Here is a 19093-nt window from a genome sequence, read left to right on the forward strand (position 1 = left end):
AAAACTGCTATTAGGATAAATTGACTATAATTGATATCTTTGTAATTTTGATTTTTATCTTTCATGAACATATCTATCCATTTATTTAATGTTCTTTTCTGTTTTTTTAATTTCTAAATTTTAAAAATAATTGATGCATAATAGTTGTACATATTTATAGAGCACAGTGTGTTGTTTCACTGTATGTATACATTATATAATGATTAAATCAGGGTAATTACCATATCTATCACTTAAAATATGTATCATTTCTTTGTGGTGATACCATTCAAAATCCTCTCTTCTAGCCATCTTAAAAGATAGAATACATTATCATTAGCTGTAGTCACCCTGCTATGTACTAAAACACCCAGAACTTACTGGAACTGCAATTTTGACCATTGACCAACCTTTTCCCATTTCTCATCCCCCATCCTCCCCAACTTCTAGTAACTGCTGTTCTATTCTCTACTCATATAATATCACCCTTTTAAAATTCCACATGAGTGAGATTATGTGGTGTTTGTCTTTCTGTGTCTGGCTCATTTCACTTAACATAATGATCTCCCAATCATCCATGTTGCTGTAAACAATAAGATTTCATTGTTTTATGTCTAAGTAGTATCAAACTAAAAAGGTTCCCCTCAGCAAATGAAACAATCAATGGAGTAAGGAGTCAACCTATAGAATGGAAGAATATATTTGCAAACTAGGCATCTGACAAGGGGTTAGTGTCCAGAATTTATAAGGAACTCATACAATTCAATAGCAGAAAAAAAAATAATCTGAATTAAAAATGGGCAAAAAACCTGAATAGACATTTATCGAAAGAAAACATGCATACAAATGGCCAACAGATATATGAAAAAAAACTCAACATTACTTATCATCAGGGAAATGCAAATCAAAACCACAATGAGATATCACTTTACCCCAGTTAGAAGGAGTTATTATCAGAGACAAAAAAAAAAAAATAAATTCTGGCAAGGATATGGAGAAAGGAAAAGATGGTGGGAATGTAAATTAGTACAGCCATTATGTAAAACAGTATGGAGGTTCCTTAAAAAATTAAAAATAGAACAACCATATGATCTAGCAATTCCATTCTTTTCCCTTTTTTATCAAGATGTATCCTTTCCATCTTAGGAACCTAGCCATTTGGATCTCCTCATTCTACATCTTATCTATATTTGTCATATATGTAGAGCAGAGAGGATTCCCCAAATAATTTGTAATGCTATCATAACCAGAAATCTATATGAGATTTTTTTCACTCAATAATATGTCCTGAACACACTTTCATTTTAATATCTTTAATGAATGCATAATATATCATCTTTAATGGCCAAAAATATACCAAAAGTGTAGACGTGTAATTATTATTTAACAAATTGTACTAACAGATAATTAAACTATTTAAAATTGTTCTTTTTACATATAATGTATTATATCACATATAATGACACCATTGAAATAAATGCATATAAACCTTTGTCTTCCTGTCAAATTCTCCCTTTAGGACAAATTACCTTTAAATAAAAGTGCTGGCTTCTTAGAGAACTAGTAAATGTCTTCAGGGATAGATAAGGCAATTATAGAAATCTGATTTGTATGTGACCACAGCCTAAACTCAGTTATATAATTTCTGATTCCCAGTCTTTTATGAGCAAAGAGTAGAGTCACAATCTCTCAATATTCTGTCCCATCTATTGAAGCCACCACAAAGTTCTCTGAATCAGAATCACATGTGGCTGTGTCTCACAGGGAAAAACAAAAGCAATCATGACAAACAATATAGTTTATTTCTCATGCTGTCACATGCAAAATAATTTTATGCCTGGTATTATGGTTCTATGGAATGAAGTTTTCAGACCCAGGCTTTTTCAAACTCACTATTTCTTCATTCCTAAGATACGATCCTTGCCCTTACAATTCAACATGACTGTTAGAGAGTTTGACATCTGCTTCATGATCCAGGAATCAAATGGAGAATAGGATGAAGAAGGGGCAATGGGCATGTAACAAGTCTTAACATGTCTTTGAAGCCCACACAAAACATTTCTGCTTTATTTATTTATTTATTTATTGGTTTTTTTCTTTTTTTTATTATTACTATACTTTAAGTTTTAGAGTACATGTGCACAACGTGTAGGTTTGTTACATATGTATACATGTGCCATGTTGGTAAGAGGAGCCTGAGAAATGTGGTCTTTATTCAGCTTATCATATGCCCAGCTAAAAACTAGATGTTGTATTCTGAAGGAAGAAAAGGAAGAATAGGTATTAGCTTAGTCACTTCACTATGCCTAAACCAAAGTACTGAGTACATAAGCATTCATCAGAGTGAAATATCCTCTCATCCTAGAACCTTTTTATTGAATTGGGCTGTTTCAAAGGGTTACATGTTGGAAAGATAAGGTATTAACCTAAGTGTCCAAAATTGTTTTGCTGTAATGTCTTTCTTAGTTTATTATCAAATCTTCAGAGATAATTTCCTTTTTCTTCAATATAGGGGAGCTGGCTTTTTCGTGCAATGGCTTTGAAATACCTCTACTCTCCCTAGAAGTAAAAAGGCACAAAAATGATGATATATTCATTGTCTTTCCTATTTTCTCATCAGTGTAACTCATGCTTCCATTGCTTGCAGCCAACAGATGTCACTGTTTCTGGCTAAAACAGACACACACAATCTAAAAATTCTTTGAACAAAAAGAGAGTCTAAGACACATAAGCATCTTAAAATTGACAAAAGAAAAAGTGAGTGGAACCTACTACACAATTTGCATGGCACAAGGATCCTCCTCTTCTTGTGCCCAAGAAGTACAGTTTTGGTGAGAAAGCCCAGTGACAGAAAATCAAAAAATGAGAAACAGGAGTCAGGCCTTAATGAGCAGTCCATCAGAAAGTGATGTAATGGGGGCATAGAGTGAGAAAAGGCATTCAGCACAGGCAAGATGAAGATGGAACAAGTGTGAGATTAATAGAAATAAATGAAACACATAAGGGAGTCAAGGAAATCTGAAATGAATTGTGAGTCTTGGGCATGATTTCCAGAGGGACAGGAGGAGGGTGATGAGGGGCCTTGAGGGTCAGCCGGCACATATTTAGTCAGTTATAATAAGGGAAAATTGCTTCCTCATTACAAGGCTAGAAAGGATGTTGATAAATTTTTCTCCCTTTTAGATAACTGCACAGAAGTTATAATTGGTATGAGGAAGCATGGGCAGCACGGTTCAGTCCCTTGCTCAACAGGAAAACCCTAGGGGCATGTGCCAAGCTGGATGATAATGACAGCTGTGACTATCAAATCATGCAGCTGGCCTTTCAGAGGAGACGGGGGTCGACCCCAGAGACAAACTGGTTATGTCTAGGTCTCCAAGGAGAGGAGTGAGGAACTCTTTTCCTGAAATGACCATAAAAATGACAAGTTTATTTAACAGGTATGGAGAAGGTGAAAGGAGCTATATGTAGTGGGATATTTTTAAATACAAAGTTATTCTTTCAGAGGAGATCAGGAACATGATTCCTGGGGACTTGACATTGTATTTAATAGGAAGTTCACTAGTTTTAGATAAATATCTTATTTTCTTGTCTACTCTGATTGTATGAAATGAAGAATCAAAATGAGACTCTCTTTTCTCAGATGTCCACAAATTTTCATAACAAACACAAACAAATGAAGATCTTAAGAATAAAACCCAAGACCTTTGTTATTTGGGAGTTATCTGGGTGCTGTCTTAGAAAAATCTGCGCATCATAAGAAAACTTCAAAAATGTTGACAGAAATGTCCTTTTGGCTTTATGATAATTTGTCTAAATTATTTGTGACAGTTTATATAATATGCTTTCAACATTTTACAAAGTAAACTGCAGGCTCACATGTGTATGATGTTCATACAGAAACCACCCTGGTTTGTTGGTGCATTTACAGATTTAGACCTAGATTATCAGTCTTACAGGAGCTGAACTGATCCCAATAGGTTGTTTTCCCAGATTATGCTAATAGCTGAACATCTGGAAAAAGAGTCAAAAAGAAAATATTTCACCTTTTAGAGATGATAATATAAGCCACAGTTTTTTTAGTCATATAACACATTAGTTTTAAAGATAAAACTTGGGACTGCATTCCTGGTGATATGTGTGTCTGTCTACACTGTACATGGCAGTACATCACTTTTTAAGGGTATAGAAATGAGCCATTGTAGGTCTCAAATGCTTAACACTAATGCTATTAGACTTGGTAAATCTTTACAGGACTCATAAAATAATATTTCTTATGCAGAAATCTGTTAGCGTCCCTGAACATTCAGGGAATAATAGAACTTCAGTTCCTGTGGCTTTCCAGTAAGCTTAAAATCAAATGTTTACTTCGTCTAGATTCATGGTTACTCTCTGAGCAGACATTCTACACTGGAGTAAGACAGTCTCTCTACATTACAAAATTATTTATTGCTTCTAAAAATTGAGAACCAATTTGTTATAATCTGTTCTTTTACAGATCCTCACATGAATACTTGAAACTCTGAAGTGATATTGTTTCCAACAGATTTGCCTCTCTGCGAATACTAAAATTATTTTAGGTAACTTGGTAGAGTACAGTAGCTTCCTTGCTATTTCTCTTTGATGAAGCTAGGGATTAACAAATGCCATTGTTCCTTGTCACAGACATTTACTGAAGATCTGCTTTGGCTGGACATACCATTATGCTCCACTACTGTATGGTGAGGTACAGTACATGTTTCCTTTCTAAGGGCGGGGGAGGCTTACAATCTTCTGGGGGAGATGGGAATGTGCATAAAGGGTAATCACAATGACAAACAGCATTTGTAAGGAGCCCCTTGAGAGGTGCAGGAAACCATAAGAAACAGAGGCCACTCAGAACTGGAAGTGAAGCTGGAGTCCATAAAGAACTCAAAGAGAGTCTAGAATTTAACCTAAGTCTTGAAGCAAAATAGGGCTTTGACAGATGGTTGAGTAAAAATAAAAATAAAAATAATAAATGGCCATTTTAAGACCATCTGAGCTAAGCAGGAGAATGGAATGTGCCAGCCAAATGCCAGGAATGATGAAGAGTTATTCTTGAGATGGTCTATAGGACATGTCTTTGGGATCTGAGAACATTAAAACAAACAAAGAAACAAACAAACAAACAGTTTGCCTCATTTAAGAGTGTCAAACAGAGTTAGAAGAAAGGGATGTTGTCTGTGTTTGTGGCTTGGGAAGACTGAAACTGCTTCCTGAAGGAGCTGCAATGCTCAGCATAGAATGTGATGCAAGGTATATTAAAGCAGGCAGCAGAGACTAAGAGAGAAGCCATCAAGCCCGATCCTTAAGAAGTTTCCCTATCACAGATATATAAGTGTGAGTAGACTGCATATTGAGGAGCTCACTGGCTCTTTTTGACATATGTCAGTTCATGCAAAAAGTCTTCACACCCACTAAATTCCATATCAAAAAAGGCTTGGTTTTGGAATGTTTGATTATTATGGTACGTTATTTTCTGCCAAAGCAATGTTAATTGTCAGAAATATAGGAATCAAATCTCTATTCAAGTCAGTAAGACCAGCTCTTATACAAGAAGCTCAAGGTGTAGCTTGATTTCATTTTTATTAATTGACTTAGCAGCAGAAATAATGATGAATTTAGTGGCATCTAAATGAGAACATTTTAAGGCCATTGAATAAGAAAAATTTCAACAGTATATTTTCAATGAAGCGTTTGATTTCACTTACAAAATCATCTCACCTCACAGAATTGTATTTCATTAGCAGTTATTACTGATCAATTAATTCTTAGAAAAGGGACATAAAATAGCAGAACCAGAGGCATTCTCACATAAACTCTCTGGCAGTTTCTTTGTCCATGTGAATCATCATCTTGCTCAGGAATTAGCACAGATACTGCTGGGGCAAAAGGCAATAAAATGACCTGTCTATGAGCTTAAGGATGCATTCAAATAAGGCAGGGAGCTACTTGACTCCACATGAAAGTGGGTTGAGATTCAGACTTTTAAGAATGAGTTATATGATTCATTGTGCACTTACTAGAGAGCCAAAGAAAATCCATCATAGAAACTAAGTGCAAAAGTAAGTCTTCTTGTGTCTTACAAAATTTTCTTCTTGACAAGGCCTATGAATTATACAATTAACACTAAAAAGCTTGCAAATAATGGCAAAAAAATTCTTAACATATGAACACAAATAAATAATATTTTAATCTTTAATTCATTTAAAGATTTTTTTAATACTATAGGAACATTGAAACATACAAAACATTGTGTCAATTGCTTTTGGTAATACAAGATTACATAAAAGCCAGCCACATCCTAAAACCAAACTACTGTGTGATTAGCAGAAATGCTAGTAGAATTGGGTTTAGCTCCTACCTTCCTTTTCGAATTGCTAATGCTATTCTTTGCCACTCATTTTCCTGAATATTCCCAGGCTATTTTTGAATCCCTTTATTTTTTAAATTGTTCCTAAATCATCAATTTTATTTCTCCTTCTTTAGGGGATTCAAGTTCTGCCCATGCTTTTGTGCCAATCTCAATCTTCACTTCCTCAATGAAACTTTTCAGATGCTCCAACCTGTTGTCTTTCCTACTTCCTCAACACCATTTATTTAGTTAACTTTAATAATCTATAAATTGCTTTACCTGTTTACTTACTGGTTCATCTGAAAATAAGTGAATGCTTTACCATCTACATGTCCAATGCTTTAAAGCAATTGGGAAATAGTAATTGTCATTGTTTCCCTATTTTGAACACAGTAATGTAATTCAAAATTGTTTTGTATTAAAAAAGAAAACACAAAGAAACCTTAAGCTAATTCCATTTATATCAACATAATCCAGTCCCTTTCTCAATAGAGAAAAATAAAACAGATTAAATTTTGTCTTCATTTTTTATTTATTTAATTTTTAGAGAGATAGGGTCTCTCTCTGTCACTTAGGCTGGAGTGCAGTGGTGTGTGATCATGACTTACTACAGCCTCGACCTCCATTTTGTTTGTAAAATATCATTTAAAACATATGTGAAAATCAACACATGGCTTGTCATTCTATAGCAAGGGGTGGCAAACTACAGCCCCGTGAACCAAATCCAAACTACCATCTACTTTTTGTAAATAAAGTTCTGTTGGAACCATACCCCACCTATTCATCTACTGGTCTGTGGCTGTTTTTGTGCCACAACATTAGAGTGGGGTAGAGGCAACAGAGACTGTACAGTCTGCAAAGCCTGTTTGCAATATGGTGATTTATAGTTTGCTGACCCTTTTTCTAGAGCAAGGCAGAAAGCTACGGTACACATTTTAACCTTTGAAAGCCTACTTAAATGTCAGTGGCTAAATGTCATTGATGAACAAAAGGAAATAGGGATTGTGTAGAAATGGTTGACTCAAGGACTGTGGCAGGAACAATACAAGAGGAATCTGGAGCGTCATATGGTGGCAGTAAATGAGGAAGTGCTCCATAAAGGATGTGAGCACAACAAAAAGGCACAGAAACTGACCTGAAAGAGCTCTCAATGTCCAGAACTGGAACAATTTGGGGCAAAAAATAAATAACAACAGTATTGGAATATAATCCATAGAAAAAAATTAAAACCCATATAAATATATAATTAATACATGCATGGAAAATAGAATATCACCATTAGAACACCATAATACTAACTGTTGCTGGAAAGATCCACCAATGAATGCTGAAATTCATGGGTGAAAATTTAAGAAGAAACAAGGTATTTGCAGAGTCTCAGGGTATCTTTCCCAAGATGTATCAATTTCAAATGAAAAAAATAATAAGAGTAAAGCAATCCAGTAGGCCATCACCTTAACCAAGTGGTTAAAGTTAACATCACCAGTAAAAAGACACATGAACATCAATTACCCCCTTGATATGATACATTGAGAAAGGCACATCGCCATTGTGGTATTCTTGCTAAAAATGCAACTTAAATCTACTCATGAGAAAATATTAGGCAAACCCCCCAAACGTGATAGTCTACAAAATAAGTAAATAATACTCTCCAAAATGCCAAGGTCATGAAAGAAAAAGGACAGAACTGTCACAGATTGGGGAATTCTAAGACACCACAAATAAATTCAATATAGGATCCTGTATTACATCCTGTAAGAGAAAGGGGACATAGGGGAAACACTGGCAAAATATGTATAGAAAGTTTAGTTAATTGATAATATTGTTGCAATGTTTATTTCGTATTTTTGATCATCATGCTATAGTTATATAAAATATTACATAAACTAGGTAAAGGTTATGAGGTTTTATGCAGGAACTCTCTGTACTATTTTTTACAAATTTTCTCTAAGTCTAAAATTCTTTCAAAATAAAAAAAATTGAAATCATTACCAAAAAAGTGAAATTATTTTAAAGTAAAATATTTGAAAAAATAGGTTTAGAAAAGAAAAAGCATAACTTTCTGATTAAGGAAAATAGAAACTCAGAGTGCTTCCTTTCATAGTGACAATATTCCTAGCTAATAAATTTAGGTTAATAACATGATTTCTAGATGCTGAAGAGAACAATTGTTGTAGCTGTTAAATTGTTTCTGGGTAAAAGTAGTTTCCTTGACTTTCATATAGTCACAGAATTTTAGCTATGATAGTAAAAGCTCAGAATAGTAGAAGAAATCCTAATTGAGTTGAAGAGGAGGAGGGCCAGACAGGATTGCCCTTGTTCTGTTGGGTCCTCACAGCCAGATATTCAGCACATGTCCTGACTACCTTAGGACCACCTGGAGACCGAGTGGCAGGTAACAGGCTAGACTTTGAAGGTCGCGAGGTTTCCCCTTCCCTTTTTCTATAGAAGGGAAGTTTTGTCTTTCTTGTACACTGAGGAAGACTTGATTTCTGTGCGTAGATTATGAAAATCATTGTCATTATTTTGGAGGTATATCTTATATTGGAATAAGGAATACAGAAAGTGAGAATGTTCTATATGCTGAAAAAACAATTAAAAAAAGAAAAAAAAACTTCCTCTATTTCAAAGAATTAACTCTGATATAAACTAGATGGTTTTTATTAATATATGGTAAATTTGGAAAATGTTTTAAGGTAAAACACATTATATTAATTTCAATCATTTGGCAAATATTCACTGAGAGTTTTTGTGTGCCCAACACTCTGTTAGCCATTACTGAAAATTTAAGCACATGATTCCTCAATGCATACAATCTTTGGAAGCAACAAATGAACTCACAAAAAATAAGAAAAATTAAATGAAAAAATATGACGATGAATACAAATAGGAAGAGATATTCAGAAAGATTAAGATATCCGCTAAAGGGAGTGCTCAGTACTGATGTCATAGGGAAGATTGGAGTTAGTCTGTTTCTTGAAAAGGATAATAATAACAATAATAACACCAAAATGTTGGCTTTATCATAAAGATTAAATAAGATACTGCAGAAAAAAAATAAGTCCTTTCCTTCAAAAATCCATGTTTTTTAAAAAGTTGCATATATACTAAAAAACTAAGAGTAAAAAATACCATTTTAATTTTATGAATCAAATATAAGAAAGTGTTCTTTAAATAAGACACAAAAGGCAAAGCCCTTAAAAGTAAAAAAGTATACATTGTACTAAATCACAAACTTTAAATTTGTCTGAATCCAAAAATTCCATAACCATAGCTTACAAAATCAAATAACATACTGGGAAAAAAAACATAGGCAAAAAATTAGGATAAGAAAGATATTTATTTGAGACAGGGTCTCACTCTCACCCAGGCTGGAGTGCAGTGGCATAATCATGGCTCACTGCAGCCTCAACCTCCAAGGCTCAAGTGATCCTCCTATCTCAGCCCACCAAAGTAGGCAGGACTATAGGTATGCACCACCACACCCAGCTAATTTTTTTTATTTTTAGTAGAGATGGGGTCTTTGTATTCTGTCTAGGCTGCTCTCAAATCCCTGGGCTCAAGCAATCCTCTTCTCTCAGCCTTTCAAGGTTACAGGCGTGAGCCACTGCATCCAGCCAATAAATATTTAGAATCAAGAATATAAATTACTTTGGGCAGTATGGCCATTTTCATGATACTAATTCTTCCTATCCACGAACATGGAATGTTTTTCCATTTGTTTGTGTCCTCTCTTATTTCCTTGAGCAGTGGTTTGTAGTTCTCTTTGAAGAGATCCTTCACATTCCTTATTAGCTATATTCCCATGTATTTTATTCTCTTTGTAGCAGTTGTGAATGGGAGTTCATTCATGATTTGGCTCTCTGCTTGTCTATTGTTGGTGTAAAGAAATGCTTGTGATTTTTGCACATTGATTTTGTATCCTAAGACCTTGCCAAAGTTGCTTATCAGCTTAAGGAGTTTTTGGGCTGAGACGTTGGGGTTTTCTAAATATAAAATCATGTCATCTGCAAACAGAGACAACTTGACTTCCTCTCTTCCTCTTTGAATATCATTTATTTCTTTCTCTTTCCTAATTGCCCTGGCCAGAACTTCCAACACTATCTTGAACAGGAGTGGTGAGAGAGGTCATCCTCATCTTGTACCAGTTTTCAAAGGGAATGCTTCCAGCTTTTGCCCATTCAATATGATATTGGCTGTGGCTTTGTCATAAATAGCTCTTACTATTTTGAGATGATATGTTCCATCAATACCTATTTTATTGAGAATTTTTAACATAAAGGGATATTGAATTTTATCAAAGGCCTTTTCTGCATCTATTGAGATAATTATATGGTTTTTGTCTTTAGTTCTGTTTATGTTGTGAATTACATATGTTGATTTGTGTATGTTGAACCAACCTTGCATCACGGGGAAGCATCCAACTTGAGCGTGGCTGATAAGATTTTGGATGTGCTGCTGAATTTGGTTTGCCAGTATATTATTAAAGATGTTTGCATCAATTTATAGATTCGATGCTATTTCCATCAAACTACCACTGACATTCTTTGCAGAACGAGGAAAAGCTACTTTAAATTTCATATGGAATCAAAGAAGATCCCATATAGCCAAGACAATTCTTAGCAAAAAGAACAAAGCTGGAGGTGTCATGCTACCTGATTTCAAACTATACTACAAGGCTACAGTAAGCAAAACAGCATGATACTGGTACCAAAACAGACATATAGACCAATGGAACAGAACAGAGACCTCAGAATTAGCACCACACACCTACAACCATCTGTTCTTCAACAAACCTGACAAAAACAAGCAGTGGGGAAAGGATCTCCTACTCAATAAATGGTGCTGGGAAAACTGGCTAGCCATATGCAGAAAACTGAAACTAGACCCTTTCCTTCACATTATACAAAAATTAACTCAATATGGATTAAAGACTTAAATGTAAAACGCAAAACCATGAAAACCCTAGAAGAACACATAGTCAATACCATTCAGGATGTAGGTATGGGCAAAGACTTCATGATAAAAATGCCAAAAGCAATTGCAACAAAAGCCAAAATTGACAAATGGGATATAATTAAACTAAACAGCTTCTGAACAGCAAAAGAAACTATCATCAGAGTGAGCAGGCAACCTACAGAATGGGAGAAAATTTTTGCAATCTACCCATCTGACAAAGGTCTAATATCCTAAATTTATAAGGAACCTAAACAAATTTACAAGAAAAAAAAAAACATCAAAAAGTAGGCAAAGGATATAAAAAGATACTTCTCAAAATAAGACATTTACACAGCCAACAAACATATGAAAAAAAGCTCAACATCACTGATCATTACAGAAATGCACATCAAAACCACAATGAGATACCATCTCATGTCAGTCAGAATGGCGATTATTAAAAAGTCAAGATTTAGATGCTGGCCAGGCTGTGGAGAAATAGGAATGCTTTTACACTGTTGGTGGGAATGTAAATTAGTTCAACCATTGTGGAAGATAGTATGGCAATTCCTCAAGGAACTAGAATCAAAAATACCACTTGACCCAGCAATGTCACTGCTGGGTATATACTCAAAGGATTATAAATCATTCTGCTATAAAGCCACATGCACACGTATGTTTATTGCAGCACTACTTACAATAACAAAGTCATGGAACCAACCCAAATGCCCATCAACAATAGACTGGTTAAACAAAATGTGGTACATATACACTGTGGAATACTATGCAGCCATAAAAAGGAATGAGAACATGTCCTTTTCAGGGACATGGATGAAGCTAGAAGCCATCATTCTCAGCAAACTAACACAGGAACAGAAAACCAAACACCACATGGTCTCACTCATAAGTGGGAGTTGAACAATGAGAACACATGGACACAGTGAGGGGAATAACATATACCAGGGCCTGTTGGAGGCTGGGGGACGTGAAGAGGGAACACAGAGGATGGGTCAACAGGTGCAGCAAACCACCATGGCACACGTATACCTATGTAACAAACCTGCACATTCTGCACATGTATCCCAGAACCTAAAGTAAAATAAAATGAAAGTTAATTTAATTTATAAAGAATACATAAATAACTCAGAAGACCCATGAACTTAAATCAAAATAAAATTACATCATTATTATCCCGGCTCTACCTGAAATTTTAGCATTTCCTTTTATTATAAATACAGTCAACAAACCAGAGTGGCTTGAATCATACCTGAGACTGTCAAGATTCAAATCTGTAGGTTGCAGACATCTAGAAATATTGTTTACATTCATCACTTTCTCCAAATTACAGTACTGTGGATTCACCACTATATCTTACTGTTTAATGCATTAATTTTAAAAATGTTCCTATATTATAATTTGTTTTTACCTTTTTGGTATTTATATTTTAATATAATTGAGTTCCGTTGGAATCCTATGTATTTTATTACAAAAAATTTAAAATATACTCTGAGAAGGAATTCACTGGGTTCGCTGGGCTGCCAAAGGGTCCTATGGTACAAAAAAGGCTAACTACCCCTGACCATGTTGATAAGAATAGAACTTTACCAAAAATGGTGAGAGTAAACAGCTAGTATCAAAATGCTGTGTATGCAATATGATATGACTTGTATGAGTTTTTACGAAAATCACACAAAATATCATATATTTTTCATGAAATCATATTCATGAATAACAATCTATAAATATAAATGTGAGGAGACACACTAAATTTATGCCTCTATAGTTTTTGCTGCTGGGAATAGAGAGGTGAATAGGACATGAGAAGATGGACAAAATATTTCATATTTAGGCACAGTATGTTATTTCTTTTCTTTAGAAAAACAGGAAAAACTGCTGGCATTTTTAACAACTATAAATTCTGGGCCATGGGTACAGTGGTGGTTGTGTGTTTCATTTTTTTTAATTCTCAAAATAAAAGTTGAATAAACGTGTATAAATCAATTCAAGGTAAGATACTGACTGTATAATAAACACTTCAGATGGGGAAAGATGGCCGAATAGGAACAGCTCCGATCTACAGCTCCCAGCGTGAGCGACGCAGAAGACGGGTGATTTCTGCATTTCCATCTGAGGTACCGGGTTCATCTCACTAGGGAGTGCCAGACAGTGGGCACAGGTCGGTGGGTGCGCGCACCGTGCGTGAGCCGAAGCAGGGTGAGGCATTGCCTCACTCAGGAAGTGCAAGGGGTCAGGGAGTTCCCTTTCCTAGTCAAAGAAAGGGGTGACAGACAGCACCTGGAAAATCGGGTCACTCCCACCCGAATACTGCGCTTTTCCGACGGGCTTAAAAAACGGCGCACCATGAGATTATATCCCACACCTGGCTCGGAGGGTCCTACGCCCACGGAGTCTCGCTGATTGCTAGCACAGCAGTCTGAGATCAAACTGCAAGGCGGCAGCCAGGCTGGGGGAGGGGCACCCGCCATTGCCCAGGCTTGCTTAGGTGAACAAAGCAGCAGGGAAGCTCGAACTGGGTGGCGCCCACCACAGCTCAAGGAAGCCTGCCTGCCTCTGTAGGCTCCACATCTGGGGGCAGGGCACAGACAAACAAAAAGACAGCAGTAACCTCTGCAGACTTAAATGTCCCTGTCTGACAGCTTTGAAGAGAGCAGTGGTTCTCCCAGTACGCAGCTGGAGAACTGAGAACGGGCAGACTGCCTCCTCAAGTGGGTCCCTGACCCCTCACCCTCGAGCAGCCTAACTGGGAGGCACCCCCAGCAGGGGCACACTGACACCTCACACGGCAGGGTACTCCAACAGACCTGCAGCTGAGGGTCCTGTCTGTTAGAAGGAAAACTAACAAACAGAAAGGACATCCACACCAAAAGGACATCACCATCATCAAAGACCAAAAGTAGATAAAACCACAAAGATGGGGAAAAAACAGAACAGAAAAACTGGAAACTCTAAAACACAGAGCGCCTCTCCTCCTCCAAAGGAATGCAGCTCCTCACCAGCAATGGAACAAAGCTGGACGGAGAATGACTTTGACGAGCTGAGAGAAGACGGCTTCAGACGATCAAATTACTCCGAGCTACGGGAGGACATTCAAACCAAAGGCAAAGAAGTTGAATACTTTGAAAAAAATTTAGAAGAATGTATAACTAGAATAACCAATACAGAGAAGTGCTTAAAGGAGCTGATGGAGCTGAAAACCAAGGCTCGAGAACTACGTGAAGAATGCAGAAGCCTCAGGAGCCGATTCGATCAACTGGAAGAAAGGGTATCAGTGATGGAAGATGAAATGAATGAAATGAGGTGAGAAGGGAACTTTAGAGAAAAAACAATAAAAAGAAACGAGCAAAGCCTCCAAGAAATATGGGACTATGAGAAAAGACCAAATCTATGTCTGATTGGTGTACCTGAAAGCGACGGGGAGAATGGAACCAAGTTGGAAAACACTCTGCAGGATATTATCCAGGAGAACTTCCCCAATCTAGCAAGGCAGGCCAACATTCAGATTCAGGAAATACAGAGAACGCCACAAAGATACTCCTCGAGAAGAGCAACTCCAAGACACATAATTGTCAGATTCACCAAAGTTGAAATGAAGGAAAAAATGTTAAGGGCAGCCAGAGAGAAATGTCGGGTTACCCTCAAAGGGAAGCCCATCAGACTAACAGTGGATCTCTCGGCAGAAACCCTACAAGCCAGAAGAGAGTGGGGGCCAATATTCAACATACTTAAAAGAATTTTCAACCCAGAATTTCATATCCAGCCAAACTAAGCTTCATAAGTGAAGGAGAAATAAAATACTTTACGGACAAGCAAATGCTGAGAGATTTTGTCACCACCGGGCCTGCCCTAAAAGAGCTCCTGAAGGAAGCACTAAACATGGAAAGGAACAACCGGTACCAGCCGCTGCAAAATCATGCCAATATGTAAAGAGCATCGAGACTAGGAAGAAACTGCATCAACTAACGAGCAAAATAACCAGCTAACATCATCATGACAGGATCAAATTCACACATAACAATATTAACTTTAAATGTAAATGGACTAAATGCTCCAATTAAAAGACACAGACTGGCAAATTCAATAGTCAAGACCCATCAGTGTGCTGTATTCAGGAAACCCATCTCACATACAGAGACACACATAGGCTCAAAATAAAAGGATGGAGGAAGATCTATCAAGCAAATGGAAAACAAAAAAAGGCAGGGGTTGCAATCCTAGTCTCTGATAAAACAGACTTTAAACCAATAAAGATCAAAAGAGACAAAGAAGGCCATTACATAATGGTAAAGGGATCAATTCAACAAGAAGAGCTAACTATCCTAAATATATATGCACCCAATACAGGAGCACCCAGATTCATAAAGCAAGTCCTGAGTGACGTACAAAGAGACTTAGACTGCCACACATTAATAATGGGAGACTTTAACACCCCACTGTCAATATTAGACAGATCAACGAGACAGAAAGTCAACAAGGATACCCAGGAATTGAACTCAGCTCTGCACCAAGCGGACCTAATAGACATCTACAGAACTCTCCACCCCAAATCAACAGAATATACATTTTTTTCAGCACCACACCACACCTATTCCAAAATTGACCACAAACTTGGAAGTAAAGCTCTCCTCAGCAAATGTAAAAGAACAGAAATTATAACAAACTATCTCTCAGACCACAGTGCAATCAAACTAGAACTCAGGATTAAGAATCTCACTCAAAACCGCTCAACTACATGGAAATTGAACAACCTGCTCCTGAATGACTATTGGGTACATAACGAAATGAAGGCAGAAATAAAGATGTTCTTTGAAACCAACGAGAACAAAGACACAACATAGCAGAATCTCTGGGATGCATTCAAAGCAGTGTGTAGAGGGAAATTTATAGCACTAAATGCCCACAAGAGAAAGCAGGAAAGATCCAAAATTGACACCCTAACATCACAATTAAAAGAACTAGAAAAGCAAGAGCAAACACATTCAAAAGCTAGCAGAAGGCAAGAAATAACTAAAATCAGAGCAGAACTGAAGGAAATAGAGACACGAAAAACCCTTCAAAAAATTAATGAATCCAGGAGCTGGTTTTTTGAAAGGATCAAAAAAATAGATAGACCACTAACAAGACTAATAAAGAAAAAAAGAGAGAAGAATCAAATAGACACAATAAAAAATGATAAAGGGGATATCACCACCGATCCCACAGAAATACAAACTACCATCAGAAAATACTACAAACACCTCTACGCAAATAAACTAGAAAATCTAGAAGAAATGGATAAATTCCTCGACACATACATTCTCCCAAGACTAAACCACGAAGAACTTGAATCTCTGAATAGACCAATAACGGGATCTGAAATTGTGGCAATAATCAATAGCTTACCAACAAAAAAGAGTCCAGGACCAGAGGGATTCACAGCCGTATTCTACCAGAGGTACAAGGAGGAACTGGTACCATTCCTTCTGAAACTATTCCAATCAATAGAAAAAGAGGGAATCCTCCCTAACTCATTTTATGAGGCCAGCATCATTCTGATACCAAAGCCTGGCAGAGACACAACCAAAAAAGAGAATTTTAGACCAATTTCCCTGATGAACATTGATGCAAAAATCCTCAATAAAATACTGGCAAACCGAATCCAGCAGCACATCAAAAAGCTTATCCACCATGATCAAGTGGGCTTCATCCCTGGGATGCAAGGCTGGTTCAATATACACAAATCAATAAATGTAATCCAGCATATAAACAGAGCCAAAGACAAAAACCACATGATTACCTCAATAGATGCAGAAAAGGCCTTTGACAAAATTCAACAACCCTTCATGCTAAAAACTCTCAATAAATTAGGTATTGATGGGACGTATTTCAAAATAATAAGAGCTATCTATGACAAACCCACAGCCCATATCATACTGAATGGGCAAAAACTGGAAGCATTCCCTTTGAAAACTGGCACAAGACAGGGATGCCCTCTCTCACCACTCCTATTCAACATAGTGTTGGAAGTTCTGGCCAGGGCAATTAGGCAGGAGAAGGAAATAAAGGGTATTCAATTAGGAAAAGAGGAAGTCAAATTGTCCCTGTTTGCAGACGACATGATTGTATATCTAGAAAACCCCATTGTCTCAGGCCAAAATCTCCTTAAGCTGATAAGCAACTTCAGCAAAGTCTCAGGATACAAAATCAATGTACAAAAATCACAAGCATTCTTATACACCAACAACAGACAAACAGAGAGCCAAATCATGAGTGAACTCCCATTCACAATTGCTTCAAAGAGAATAAAATACCTAGGAATCCAACTTACAAGGGATGTGAAGGACCTCTACAAGGAGAACTACAAACCACTGCTCAAGGAAATAAAAGAGGATACAAACAAATGGAAGAACATTCCATGCTCATGGGTAGGAAGAATCAATATCGTGAAAATGGCCATACTGCCCAAGGTAATTTACAGATTCAATGCCGTCCCCATCAAGATACCAATGCCTTTCTTCACAGAATTGGAAAAAACTACTTTAAAGTTCATATGGAACCAAAAAAGAGCCCGCATCACCAAGTCAATCCAAAGCCAAAAGAACAAAGCTGGAGGCATCACACTACCTGACTTCAAACTATACTACAAGGCTACAGTAACCAAAACAGCATGGTACTGGTACCAAAACAGAGATATAGATCAATGGAACAGAACAGAGCCCTCAGAAATAACACCACATATCTACAACTATCTGATCTTTGACAAACCTGAGAAAAACAAGCAATGGGGAAAGGATTCCCTATTTAATAAATGGTGCTGGGAAAACTGGCTAGCCATATGTAGAAAGCTGAAACTGGATCCCTTCCTTACACCTTATATAAACATCAATTCAAGATGGATTAAAGACTTAAACATTAGACCTAAAACCATAAAAACCCAGAAGAAAACCTAGGCAATATCATTCAGGACATAGGCATGGGCAAGGACTTCATGCCTAAAACACCAAAAGCAGTGGCAACAAAAGCCAAAATTGACAAATGGGATCTAATTAAACTAAAGAGCTTCTGCACAGCAAAAGAAACTACCATCCGAGTGAACAGGCAACCTACAAAATGGGAGAACATTTTCGCAACCTACTCATCTGACAAAGGGCTAATATCCAGAATCTACAATGAACTCAAACAAATTGACAAGAAAAAAACAAACAACTCCATCAAAAAGTGGGCAAAGGACATGAACAGACACTTCTCAAAAGAAGACATTTATGCAGCCAAAAAAACACATGAAAAAATGCTCATCATCACTGGCCATCAGAGAAATGCAAATCAAAACCACAATGAGATACCATCTCACACCAGTTAGAATGGCAATCACTAAAAAGTCAGGAAAAAACAGGTGCTGGAGAGGATGTGGAGAAATAGGAACACTTTTACACTGTTGGTGGGACTGTAAACTAGTTCAACCATTGCGGAAGTCAGTGTGGCGATTCCTCAGGGATCTAGAACTAGAAATACCATTTGACCCAGCCATCCCATTACTGGGTATATACCCAAAGGACTATAAATCATGCTGCTATAAAGACACATGCACACATATGTTTATTGTGGCACTATTCACAATAGCAAAGACTTAGAACCAACCCAAATGTCCAACGATAGACTGGATTAAGAAAATGTGGCACATATACACCATGGAATACTATGCAGTCATAGAAAATGATGAGTTCATGTCCTTTGTAGGGACATGGATGAAATTGGAAATCATCATTCTCAGTAAACTATCACAAGAACAAAAAACCAAACACC

The 19093-nt window shown here is 36.8% G+C and overlaps 2 annotated features.

Moving 5' to 3' along the window:
- Positions 13281-13791: an enhancer, noted in NCBI's record as "H3K4me1 hESC enhancer chr2:57835924-57836434 (GRCh37/hg19 assembly coordinates)". NCBI's record gives its function as "activates a minimal SCP1, AML or CMV promoter by ChIP-STARR-seq in naive H9 embryonic stem cells {active_cell/tissue: H9 hESC(naive)}" and the evidence as "EXISTENCE:reporter gene assay evidence [ECO:0000049][PMID:30033119]".
- Positions 13792-14300: an enhancer, noted in NCBI's record as "H3K4me1 hESC enhancer chr2:57836435-57836943 (GRCh37/hg19 assembly coordinates)". NCBI's record gives its function as "activates a minimal SCP1, AML or CMV promoter by ChIP-STARR-seq in naive H9 embryonic stem cells {active_cell/tissue: H9 hESC(naive)}" and the evidence as "EXISTENCE:reporter gene assay evidence [ECO:0000049][PMID:30033119]".

This window comes from Homo sapiens, chromosome 2, assembly GCF_000001405.40.
Source record: "Homo sapiens chromosome 2, GRCh38.p14 Primary Assembly".
NCBI lineage: Eukaryota > Metazoa > Chordata > Mammalia > Primates > Hominidae > Homo > Homo sapiens.